Genomic DNA, 14,010 nt, shown 5'->3' on the forward strand with positions numbered 1-14,010 from the left:
AACTTTATTAGAAACATGGCATATGTATTTTACGTACTCCCTCTATAAGAAAAACACAAAAACAAGACATGTAATTGTTGCACAATACTGAAGTGGCCCAAGAATTAGGGTTCCTTAAAGGAAGCCTTCTTCCACCTGTATTGATCATCCATGGTATTGATCATCCATGGCTCCTCACCAGGCATCATTCTTTGGGTCAGCTAGGCAGAATGACTTGCTGCTCCCTGAGTATGTGATGCAGTCTCTTCCCTATGAGTCTCCCTACTAGGTACTTCCTCTGACTGGCTGCTCTGCTCTCATCCTTTACCTGCCCTGTCTAATCTTAAAGACTGGATTTAATCATTTTCATCTCTGGGAGGCCTTTCATACCACCCTCCCCAAACCCCCATCATCACTGTCAAGGTTGAATTAAGTGTCTCTTCTCTGTGCTCCCATAGAAACTCAGGTTTTTCTCTATAACTGCTAGTCTATTTGTCTATCTCCACTGCTAGACTATAAGCTCCCTATGGGTGGAATCCTGTTCACTGTTATGATCTATTGCCTAGCAAAGTTCTTGACCCAGAATAGGTGCCTGACAAGTATCAATTGAATCCATGAATAAATAGTTGAGCAGGTTTGATGTTGTTGGCATTGGGTGAAGTTTATTTATACTTTATGATATTCAGGTAGAAATAGGTTGTTAGTTGTATAGGTCTGGAGTTCAAATATTGGGCTTACGGGCAGGAGGAGGACAAGAGGTATGGATATGGGAACTCCCCTTACTTTCAGTCACATTGTATACAGGTAAGAACTGAAAGTTTGGGATTCAATACAAATACTTGAGGAAAGTTTCCAGTTTTGAAGATAATTAAGAGAGAATGAGAGAAGGGGCCAAATTGCAGTAGATTATGGTGTAAATGAAAAGAGAAGGGGAGAAATGCAAACAGTATAGACAGATAATTCAAGAATTTTGGTGCTGAGATTCCAAGTAGAGCAATTACAATATGTCCCAACAAACAGATGAGATTGGATAATGTTGTTTCTTTCACTTTTATTTTTGTTAGTTTAAGAAGGAAAAGACAGCTAAGACTATCGAAGGACCAGTGTCATTGGACAGAGGAAATTCTGTGACAGGTATGAGAAGATACAAATGAGACAAATTTAGTTCATATAAAGTTTTTACTGAGGTCTCACACCATTAAGTCATGATATGAGTTGGTTGGTTTGTTTGTGTCATGAATAGGGACTGCCTGACACTGTATTTTCACTTCAAGGCATTGATTAAGTTGGGGGTCAAAAGTACTTAGGTGACTCAAAGCAGAAGCCTTTATCCATAATGAGTAGAACTCAGTGAAGGCTGTATGAGAAGTTTGAATTTCCAACAGGAACTTCATGTGTTTGTTCTACTTCTTGTATTACAGATCTCATAGTGCTAAGAGAGGCCATTTTATAATGGGTTTGAGGAAAATAATAACATTTGGAGCTGGAAATAAGCTTCGAGATGATCTTGTCCAGTAGCTAGGAGACTTTATTTCATGGTTGGGACACTGCTTAGGCATCATCTCTTCTGGGAATCCTTCCTTGGGATGTGAATAAACACTTTAAAAAAAGTCACAGGCAACTCTTCTGTCCTCCTGGAGTTTTCATAAGGCTTATGATAATTAAATGTACATGTTAAAGCCTCTTAGAAGTTCTACAGTAAATAAACCAATTTAATTCTGATTCACAAAATAGTTTTCCATCTTATTTGTACCTGGAAACCATCATACTCTTATTTTGTGGACACTTATATGCATCCAAGAAAGTCTTTTAAGAATCACTAATCTAATCTACTAATCCTTTCATTCAGACAGAGTCCAAGTCAGTATTTTTATCTCCTTATTTCACATATTTAAACTTAATAGCTGAAAACAATTTTATGATCTTGGTTGACTGGGATGATCTGGGATGACTGGGATGTTCCACATAATGTTAGCTGGGACTGCAGTTAGCTGTGGCTTGACTGATGCCTCTGCACAGATGCTGGGAGGCTGAGTGCAGCCCTGGATGCAGGCATGGCTGGCTTCTCCCTCCCCATCTAGTTTCAGGCCTCTAGCTCTTCACCTGTGCTCACCACACGTTATACCTCCTTATGGTGTCTTCATAAGGTAAGCAGACAATTTAGATAGTGGCTCAGGGTACCTGAAAGTACAAAATCAGAAACTTCTGACACTTTCTTCAGGTTTAGACTCAGAACTGGAATAACATCCCTTCTATCACATTATATTGGTTAAAGCAGTCACAGGGCCAGCCCAGATTCAAAAGGAGCAAAAACAAACTCTACCTTTCCATCAGGTGGTGTGCACGGAAGGAGAGATGACAAATAATTTACGGTCATATTTAATCCATCACACTTCTCATGGGCTTTTAGCATATTGTGAGATAAAGAACCTGTCCCCTGACACTGTAAAATTCCCCAGATAACTCTAAATACCTAAGCTTCTTGGCATCACAGAGATAGCTGGGTCCATTGATATCTTCCCTAATATCCAGGATCAGTATGTTAGGCAAATGGCCAATAGGACCCAGATCCAAACACATCAAATCAAGGAAATGGGCTTGGCATGGTGCCTCACACTTATAATCCTAGCACTTTGAGAAGCTGAAGTGGGCAGATTGTTTGAGCCCAGGAGTCTGAGACCAGCCTGGGCAACATGGCAGAAACTTGTCTCTACAGAAAAATACCAAAAAAAATTAGGCAGACATGGTGATATGTGCCTGTAGTCCCAGCTACTCAAGAAGTTGAGGTGAGAGGATCACTTGAGCCCACCAGGCCAAGGTTGTAGTGAGCCATAACTGCACTACTGCACTGCACTCTGAGTGACAGGGAAAGACCCTGTCTCGAAAAAAAACAAAACAAAAATGGGAAATATTGAAAGACTGACACTAGTTCTAATGGTCTGAACTAGAGGTGAGCAAACTACGTTCTGTAGGCCAAATCCACCTACTGCTGGTTTTTGTAAATAACATTTTGCTGGAACACTGCCACACCAATGCATTTGTCTATTGTCTATGGCTGCATTTGTGCTAAAAGTCAGAGTTGAATAGTTGCGACTAAGACCATCTGGCTTGCAAACCTAACATACTGATCATCTGGCCCTTTACATTAAAAGTTTGCCAGCCCCATTCTAGACTATATAAGCATTACAAAATGATGCCCACTTCATTGTGATTTGACTCTATCTATACATTAGGAAATGTGGAATATTAGCAAGCTATAAAACAGTTTCAATGGAGATAAAAATTATTGTACTGTTGCACGTATCAACAGAACACTCTTATTGCTGCTTGTATTCTATTTGATTATTGTAAATAAAGCTATTATGAACATTTATGTGCAGGTCTTTGAAGGAATATATGCTTTTATTTCTCTTGGGAAAATATGTAAGAGTTAAATGACTGGATCATGTGGTCAGGATATCTTTAACTTTTTAAAAAATTGCCAATATGTTTTCCAAATATTCTTATCAGCAGTTTAAGAGGGTTCCTGTTCCACCACATCCTTGTCTGCACTTGCTATAGTCAGTCCTTTAATTTTAGCCACTGTAATAGGTATGTAGTAGAATCACACTGTAGTTTTAACTTGCATTTTTCTAATGACTGATGATGTTTATCATCTTTTCATATGCTTATTTGACATCCACACACTTCTTTGATGAAGTGTCTGTTGAGATTTTTTGCCCATTTTCAAAAATTGAGGGTTTCTTATCGTTGAGTTTTGAGAACTCTTTATATATTTTGGGTAGAAATTCTTTATCAGATATGTAAATTATAAATATTTTTTCTAGTCTATGATTTGTCTTTCATTCTCTTTTGAAGAGAAGTTTTAAGGCCAGGCATGATGGCTCACACCTGTAATCCCAGCACTTTGGGAGGCTGAGGCAGGTGGATCATGAGGTCTGGAGTCTGAGACCAGCCTGGGCAACATAGTGAAACCCCATCTTTACTAAAAATACAAAAAAATTAGCCAGGTATGGTGGTGGGTGCCCATAATCCCAGCTACTTGGGAGGCTGAAGCAAGGAGAATCACTTGAACCTGGGAAGCGGAGGTTGCAATGAGCCAAGATCATGCCACTGTACTCCAGCCTGGGCAAGAGTGCGAGACTCTGTCTCAAAAACAAAAAAAAACAAAAAAAGATAAATAAAGAGAAGTTTTACATTTTTATGAAGTTCAGTATATCCATTTCTTTTCTTTTTTTTTTTTTCTTCTTTTTTTTGAGATGGAGTTTTGCTCTTGCTGCCCAGACTGAGTGCAATGGCATGATCTCGGCCCACTGCAACCTCCACCTCCCAGGTTCAAGCAATTCTCCTGCATCAGCCTCCTGAGTAGCTGGGATTATAGGTGCCCTCCACCACACCCAGCTAATTTTTCCATTTTTGGTAGAGACAGAGTTTCACCATGTTGGCCAGGCTAGTTTCGAACTCCTGATCTCAGGTGATCTGCCCACCTCAGCCTCCTAAAGTGCTGGGATTACAGGAGTGGCCACCATGCCTGGCCCATTTTTTTCTCTTATGGATAATACTTTTGGTATCATATAAGAAATCTCTGCCGGGCAGGTGGATCACGAGGTCAGGGGTTCGAGACCAGCCTGGCCAATATGGTGAAACCCCATCTCTACTAAAAATACAAAAATTAGCCAGGCGTGAAGGTGCATGCCTGTAATCCCAGCTACTGGGGAGGCTGAGGCAGAAGAATCGCTTGAACCCAAGAGGTGGCAGTTGCAGTGAGCCGAGATTGCACCACTGCACTCCAGCCAGGGTGACAGAGCAAGACTCCATCACACACACACACACACACACGCACACACAGAAATCTTTGCCTAATCAAAGGTCACAAACATTTCTGCTTATATTTTCTTCTAGAGGTGTGATTGTTTTAGGTTTTACATTTAGGTCAATAATCCATTTTGAGTTAATTTCTTTAATAAGGCACAAGATACGGTTTCAAGTTTATTTTCTTTTTTGGCATATGGGCATCCAATGATTCTAATATCACTTATTGAAAACACTATCCTTCCTCCATTAAACTGCATTTGCCCCTTTGTCAAAGATCAGTTGTCATTATTTTTGTATCTGGACTCTCTGTTCTGTTCCACAGATTTGTGTGTCTTGATGCCAGTACTGCAGTATTCTGATTACTGTAAATCTTGACATCAGAAAATATTAGTTCTCTATTTTTTTCTTTTTCAAAGCTGTTGCAGGCATTTTATGTCCTTTGTATTTCCATACTAATTTTAGAGTCAGTTTGTCAATTTCTGCCTGTAGCTTTGTTGAACAAATCCCATACACTCCAATGACTTGCTACTTTATGTAGCTGCCCCTCTCTGACTGAGGTTGTTCTCGGCCTGTAGACACATGCGCAATCCAAATGCTGGCAGGCCAGAAGTGCCTAGGAATGAATACCCCCAGGAACAACTCTCAACCACTAAGAGGCGTGAGTTGGAAAACAAATATCTAAACTTTCTTGTCCCTTTGGAGCTATTCTGAGGTGTGACTTAGGGTCTCCGAGGTTTCTAGCAAAACCAAGCTTCAATTGCCCACTCATTAACATATTAACATATCTTTTATTTACATATCTACCTTGATTTTCTCACCTCTCCACTACCTATTTATCTATTATTTCATTTTCACGTGGCTGATAAAGACATACCCAAAACTGGGAACAAAAAGAGGTTTAATTGGACTTACAGTTCCACATGGCTGGGGAGGCCTCAGAATCATGGCAGGAGGCGAAAGGCTCTTCTTACATGGTGACAGCAAGAGAAAAATGAGGAAGAAGCAAAAGTGGAAACCCCTGATTGACCCATTAGATTTCATGAGACTTAATCACTATCCTGAGAGTAGAATGGGAAAGACCAGCCCCCATGATTCAGTTACATCCTCGTGGGTCCCTCCCACAACACATGGGAATTCTAGGAGATACAATTCAAGTTGAGATTTAGGTGGGGACACAGCCAAACTATATCACTCACTGGGCTGCGTAGAACCATTTGAACTCAAATTCTTATCTCAGGGTCTGCTTTTGGTACCTGATCCAAGATTGTTGGTACCAGGAATGGTTCTAGAAGGGAGAACCTAGGAATGAAACTCTACAATGAAATAATGAACCTGAACTCCTTCTAATACCAGAAGACTCAAGGTACTCTCATAGCTCCCCAGTTACATTGTGGACAAAACAGAAGACAGGCAATAAATGGAATCCTGGACCAAATCCATCTCACAGTGGGTTCACAGACTCAACCTGTTCATGTTATCCCAGTCTCTGAGTGTCTCACCAAGATGGACAGACTTAAGTGCTTGCAGAAGCCCCCTTTTGGTTTCTGACTTGTGAGATAAGTGATATACTAGTAGGAAAAGCTAAGTGGAAGCACATGAAACTACTGCTTTCTCTCCAACCAGCCAAGACAGCAAATTGGAAGGAATACCACAAATTAGGCAGCAGGCAGTCATTAACAATACTCTCAGAGACTTACAGGATGCACAGGTAATGTTTTCCATCATGTCCCTATTTAACTCATCATTATGGCTTCTATTAAAAAAAAAGAGAATGGAGGTGGAACATGGTGGATTATAGTGGACTACTGTGAATGTAACCAAGGGAGGCCTCAGCCACAACTGCCATGCTATATATATGTGGCATCTTCCTAAAACAGATTAATACAGCCTCTGACACTTAATATGCAGATATTGATCTGACCAATGCCTTTCATATCCCCATTAGAAAGGATGATCCATAGCAAGTTGCATTCACCTGGAGTGGTGGCCCGAATACTTATTTTATTTTATTATTTGATTTTTTAGGTTTCCTTTTTTTTTCTAGTTTCATTTTCTCAGTTCCTCTACTCCTGTGATCACCTCCCAAATGCATAACTTGTAACCAAATCCTTATTTCAGAGTTTGCTTAAGGGGGAATCCAAACTAAAATAGTAATTAATTACCTTAGTGAAATCTTTTGGTGAATATAAATATATAAAAATATCAACAATTTCAATAAATCTAAATGAATTAAACTCATCAAACTTTCTGATTAAATTTTAAAGAAGATATACAAACCGCCAACAAACATATGAAAAAATGCTCAACATCACTAATCATCAGGGAAATGCAAATCAAAACCACAGTGAGATGCCACTTTACTCCTGCAAGAATGGCCATAATTAAAAAGTCAAGAAACAATAGATGTTGGCATGAGTGTGGTAAAAAGGGAACACTTTCACACTGCTGGTGGAATGTAAATTAGTACAACTACTACGGAAAACAGTATGGGGATTCCTTGAAGAACTAAAAGTCAATCTACCATTCAATCCAGCAATCCCACTAGTGGGTATCTACCCAAAGGAAAAAAGTTATTATATGTAAATGATATATGCATACACATGTTTATGGCAGCACAATTCGCAATTGCAAAGATATGGAACTAACCCACCTAAGTGCTCATTGACCAATGAGTGGATAAAGAAAATGTGGTATATTTACACCTTGGAATACTACTCAGCCATAAAAAGGAATGAAATAATGTCTTTTGCAACAACTCGGATGGAGCTGGAGGCCATTATTCTAAGTGAAGTAACTCAGAAATAGAAAACCAAATACCCTATGTTCTCACTTATAAGTGGGAGCTAAGCTATGAGAATGCAAAAACATATAGAGTGATATAAAGGACTATGGGAACTTGTGGTGGGGAGGTTGGGAGGAAGGTGAGAGATAAGAGACTGCATATTGGATACAGTGTACACCGTTAGGGTGATGGGTGCACTAAAATCTCAGAATATACTACTATAGAACTTATTTGAGTAACCAAAACCACCTGTACCCCAAAAGCTATTGAAATAAAAAAAATTCCAGATATGTGGCTTTTATAAGAGACATACTAAAGCATAGGATATGTTATGTCAGCCAGCTTTGGCTGTGTAGCAGCTGCATAATCTCAGTCTCATGCAATAACAGTTTCCTACTCATGCATCTGTGGATCAGCTTGGGTACAGCTGATTTTGCCCACCTGGGGTTTGCTCTAAAATATAGGTTCAGCCTTAGTCTGTTCCAAATATTTCTTACCTTCCTTGGACCAGTGGCTACCCAAGGCAGGGTCTTATCATGGCAAAAGTCAGGAATACAAGAGAATTTGTCCAACCTTTCAAGCATGTTTAAAGCCACTAACTGTATCATCCCACCAATATTCTGTTGGCTAAGGCAAGTCACATAACAAGGGTTCATAAGGTACCGAGAAGAGACAACAAACTGGGAATAACAATGCAATCTGTGTTAAAAATAATAGAATGGCAAAAATTAGAAAAATGGTAGCCAAAAGAAAGCTTGTGTGGCTGTATTACTGTCGGATCAAATGGATTTTAAGACAAAAACACGATTAGAGTCAGAGAAGATCTCTATTTATCTATCTATACACATCAATAAAGTATAAATATTCTAAACACCATGCACCTAATAGCCTCAAAATATATAAAGGGAGTAAACAAAGCTCCACCAAATAGTGAGAAATTTCATTAAATTTCCCTCATTGTTTGAAGTGTTAATCCATTGATTCTAAGCAAGAACATAGAAGATCTCAACAACACAATTTAAAAACTTGACCTAACGAACATAGATGGAATTCTGCACCCAACAATTAGATAATGTAAACTGCATTATTCTCAAGCACACATAGAACACTTACAAATATTGATCATGTATTTAGACAAAATATAAGCCTCAAAAATATCTTAAAATATATATAATATAGACCACATTTTCTGACATCAACTCAATTAAGTTAATAGATAATAAGAAAAAATAAGAAAAATATGAATTGCCCACTTATTTAAAACTTAAAAACATGCTCTTTTTTATTATTATACTTTAAGTTTTAGGGTACATGTGCACAACGTGCAGGTTTATTACATATGTATACATGTGCCATGTTGGTGTGCTGCACCCATTAACTCGTCATTTAACATTAGGTATATCCCCTAATGCTATCCCTCCCCCTCCCCCCACCCCACAACAGGCCCCGGTGTGTGATGTTCCCCTTCCTGTGTCCATGTCTTCTCATTGTTCAATTCCCACCTATGAGTGAGAACATGCGGTGTTTGGTTTTTTATCCTTGCGATAGTTTGCTGAGAATGATGGTTTCTAGCTTCATCCATGTCCGTACAAAGGACATGAACTCATCTCAATATCGTGAAAATGGCCATACTGCCCAAGGTAATTTATAGATTCAATGCCATCCCCATCAAGCTACCAATGACTTTCTTCACAGAATTGGAAAAAACTACTTTTTTTTTTTTTTTGAGACGGAGTCTCGCTCTGTCGCCCAGGCTGGAGTGCAGTGGCGGGATCTCGGCTCACTGCAAGCTCCGCCTCCCGGGTTCACGCCATTCTCCCGCCTCAGCCTCCCAAGTAGCTGGGACTACAGGCGCCCGCCACTACGCCCGGCTAATTTTTTGTATTTTTAGTAGAGACGGGGTTTCACCGTTTTAGCCGGGATGGTCTCGATCTCCTGACCTCGTGATCCGCCCGCCTCGGCCTCCCAAAGTGCTGGGATTACAGGCGTGAGCCACCGCGCCCGGCCGGAAAAAACTACTTTAAAGTTCATAAGGAACATGCTCTTTAAATGACTCATGAGGTAAAGAAATCCTAATGGAAATTTTAAAGTGAATGATAATGACAACATTACATATCAGAACTTGTGAGATCCAACCAGAGCTAAGACCCAGCAATTCACTCCTACATAAGCACCAAAGAGGAACTCTTGCACGTGTGCACCAGGGATCAGATGAAGATCTTTATAGCAATATTATTTTAAAAATAGCAAAGACCTAGGAACAACCTACATGCCTGTTGTCAGCAGAATGTATAAAATAACTGGTGACCATCAAATGATGAAATATTATATAGCATTCAAAATGAATGACCTTCAGCTTCACATCACAATATGAATGAATATTAACAATATTGAGTGTAAAAAATAAATAAATAAATTGATGATATCTAGATAGACAGATGTATAAAATAAATTCCCAAAGATACATACAGAAAACATTTTTATAAACTTTGAAACACTAAAACTAAAAGCAATACTTCTAGACTATATAGATATGAAATAGAACTATGTAAATAAAAAAGGAAGGAAATGATCAGCATGATTCAGGGTAGTGGTTACCTCAGGTGGAGACAAACAGGAAGAAACACTGCCCTTAGATCCAGGCAAGAGGACCTCTGGACTCTTCTCTACAGGCCCAAATCTGGTCATCTTCTAACTATGCCTCTCCCCTTAAGGCAAGGAGTCTGTAGCACAAAAGGGATGTTCACACTCAAAGCCTACAGCGCCCTCTTATAGATCATGCTCTGAATACCCGGAAGCCAGGACTTCCCTGTCCCTACAGTGAGGGCCTCTCTCAGTGACTCCGTGGACCTCTGGCCTAAGTCTATTCTTCCAAGTGCAGATCATGATGTCTTTGTGCTCTGAGGCCTATGGAGTGGCCAAGGGGTGCTATTTACCAGTATGTGGACTGATCTTTGGGCCGAGTATCCATGCGTGTGCTCAAAGGACAGGCTGCCTAAGACCATCTCTCCTCACACTACTGCCACGCTCCAATGTAGCTAGAAACCTAAGAATTCAAAATTCCAGCCTGGCCTTACATGTTGGTATGAATATATTTAGTGAGATGGAAGGATAGAATACATTTTATTTAACAGTCTTAGCTAGATTGATAACTTTTAAATATTTAAATATATAGTACATGGGCCTTTTTCTCCAGGCTCCATAAATGTTTAAAAGCCTAGCAGAGGGATAGAACTGGGGAGCACCAAATGGGCAGATATAACTTGCTTTCAAAGTTCTAGTACCTATGAATTTAGCAAAATGGCATCTTGACTGGATCAGACACATATGGATTTTTCATGGTAATGATTGGTTTGAGTGTATGTGTTGGGAGCAACAGCAAAAGATAAGCTAGAGAGGGAAGCAAGGCCCAGATCATACAAGGTCTTGTAAGTTATACTGTAGAGCTTGGACTATCCTTAGAGTAACAAGGAGATACTGGATGATTAAGAGTGAGGCTGACATAATCAGGCTTGCATTTTAGAAAGATTAATGTAGCTCCAAAGTGAATGTTGGTTAAGGGACAGGACTGGAAGAAGGAGAACAAGTAATGAGTCTATTTCAGTAATCCTTGGGTAGGAGATGCAGATGATTTGGAGTAGAATGAAGGTAATAAGAGTAAGGTCCACAGGATCAACTTACAGAGAAATAGAAATTAAGGCTGATTCCTAGGTTTTCGGCTGGTGAAGTTGGGTGAGTGTTGTCTTTCAACGGGATATAGAATTGAAGTGGAAGTTTGTGAAATGTATAGGGAAAGATATTGGATTTAATTTGGATATACTGTGCTTAAGGGCCTGTAGGCAGCTAGTAAGCTTTTGGCACAAACTAGGCACATAGTAATTGTGCAATGTAAGTAAAAATGAAAAAATGAAGTAAAACTTGTTAATTTTTTTTTATTATTTTTTCCCTGAGGTTGGAAAAGATGAGGAGAGCTTCCTTGACGGTCTAAGGGACATTGAATCAATTGCTGCTCTTGTCAATTAGCATACTCTATGTAGATGTGTCAAGATATGAAGCAATGCTATTATTAGAGAAATTTTATTTTGTTCTAGACTTGCTCATTGTATTCAACAGGTTATAACTCCAAAATTAGAGACCTATTCTAAAACTGATCACATAATTGGAAGTAAAACACTCCTCAGCAAATGCAAAAGAATGGAAATAATAACAGTCTCTCAGACCACAGCAAAATCAAATTAGAACTCAGGATGAAGAAACTCACTCAAAATTGCACAGCTACATGGAAACTGAACAACCTGCTCCTGAATGACTAGTGGGTAAATAAAGAAATCAAGGCAGAAATAAATAAGTTCCTTAAAACCAATGATAACGAAGACACGCATACCAGAATCTCTGGCACACAGATAAAGTAGTGTTTAGAGGGAAATTTATAGCACTAAATGCCCACAGGAGAAAGCCGGAAAGATCCAAAATGAACACCCTAACATCACAATTAAAAGAACTAGAGAAGCAAGAGCAAACAAATTCAAAAGCTAGCAGAAGACAAGAAATAACTAAGATCAGAGCAGAACTGAAGGAGATAGTGGCACGAAAAACCCTTCAAAAAATCAACGAATCCAGGAGCTGGTTTTGTGAAAGGATTAACAAAATTGATAGACCGCTAGCAAGACTAACAAAGAAGAAAAGAGAAGAATCAAATAGACACAATAAAAAGTGATAAAGGGGATATCACCACAGATCCCACAGAAATACAAACTACCATCAGAGAATACTATAAACACCTCTATGCAAATAAACTAGAAAATCTAGAAGAAATGGATAAATTCCTGGAGACACACACCCTCCCAAGACTAAACCAGGAAGAAGTCTAATCCCTGAATAGACCAATAACAAGTTCTGAAATTGAGGCAGTGATTAACAGCCTACCAACCTAAAAAAGCCCAGGACCAGATGGATTCACAGCCGAAAGCTACCAGAGTTACAAAGAGGAGCTGGTACCATTCCTTCTGTAACTCTTCCAAACAATAGAAAAAGAGGCACTCCTTCCTAACTCATTTTATGAGGCCAGCATCCTCCTGATACCAAAACCTGGCAGAGACGCAACAAAAAAAGAAAATTTCAGGCCAATATCCCTGAAGAACATAAACCGGAAAATCCTCAATAAAATACTGGCAAACCAAATCCAGCAGTACATCAAAAAGCTTATCCACCAAGATCAAGTCGGCCACATCCCTGGGATGCAAGGCTTGTTCAACATACACAAATCAATAAACGTAATCCATCGCATAAAGAGAACCAATGACAAAAACCACATGATTATCTCAGTAGATGCAGAAAAGGCATCCAATAAAATTCAACACCGCTTGATACTAAAAACTCTCAATAAACTAGATATTGATGGAATGTATCTCAAAGTAATAAGAGCTAGTTATGACAAACCCATAGCCAATATCATAATGAATGGGCAAAAGCTGTAAGCATTCCCTTTGAAAATCGCCACAAGACAAGGATACCCTCTCTCACCACTCCTATTTAACATAGTATTGGAAGTTCTGGCCAGGGCAACCAGGCAAAGGAAAGAAAGAAAGCATATTCAAATAGAAAGAGAGGAAGTCAAATTGTCTGTGTTTGCTGATGACATGATCATTTATTTAGAAAACCCCATCGTCTCAGCCCAGAATCTCCTTAAGCTGATAAGCAACTTCAGCAAAGTCTCAGGAAACAAAATCAATATGCAAAAATCACAAGCATTCCTACATACCAGTAACAGACAAATAGAGAGCCAAATCTTGAGTGAACTTCCATTCACAATTGCTACAAAGAGACAAACCTGACAAAAACAAGCAATGGGGAAAGGATTCCCTATTTAATAAATGGTGTTGGGAAAACTGGCTAGCCATATGCAGAAAACTGAAACTGGAACCCTTCCTTACACCTTACACAAAAATTAACATGAGATAGATTAAAGACTTAAATGTAAAACCTGAAACCACAAAAACCCTAGAAAACCTAGGCAACACCATTCAGGACATAGTCATGGGTAAAAACTTCATAACTAAAACACCAAAAGCAATGGCAACAGAAGCCAAAATTGACAAATGGGATCTAATTAAACTAAAGAGCTTCTGCACAGCAAAAGAAACTATCATCAGAGTGAACAGGCAACCTACAGAATGGGAGAAATTTTTTGCAATCTATCCATCTGACAAAGTGCTAATATCCAGAATCTACAAAGAACTTCACCATTTTACAATAAAAAAAAACAACCCCATCAAAAACTGGGTGAAGGATATGAACAGACACTTGTCAAAAGAAGACATTTATGTGGCCAACAAATGTATGAAAAAAAGCTCATCATCAATGGTCATTAAAGAAATGCAAATCAAAACCACAATGAGATACCATCTCAAGCCAGTTAAAATAGTGATCAAGCG

General features: G+C 39.1%; 1 long non-coding RNA gene across 1 annotated transcript in view; it reads right to left on the bottom strand.

The window, feature by feature from the left end:
• Nucleotides 1-1,139: 1,139 nt before the first annotated feature.
• The window catches only part of LINC01277 (long intergenic non-protein coding RNA 1277), a 71,162-nt gene continuing 58,291 nt past the window's right edge, over nucleotides 1,140-14,010 (bottom strand). The window contains exon 3 of the long non-coding RNA NR_038987.1: nucleotides 1,140-2,160. This is a non-coding gene — a long non-coding RNA (long intergenic non-protein coding RNA 1277). The remainder of the gene's footprint in view (nucleotides 2,161-14,010) is intronic.

This window comes from Homo sapiens, chromosome 6 (assembly GCF_000001405.40).
Source record: "Homo sapiens chromosome 6, GRCh38.p14 Primary Assembly".
Lineage (NCBI taxonomy): Eukaryota > Metazoa > Chordata > Mammalia > Primates > Hominidae > Homo > Homo sapiens.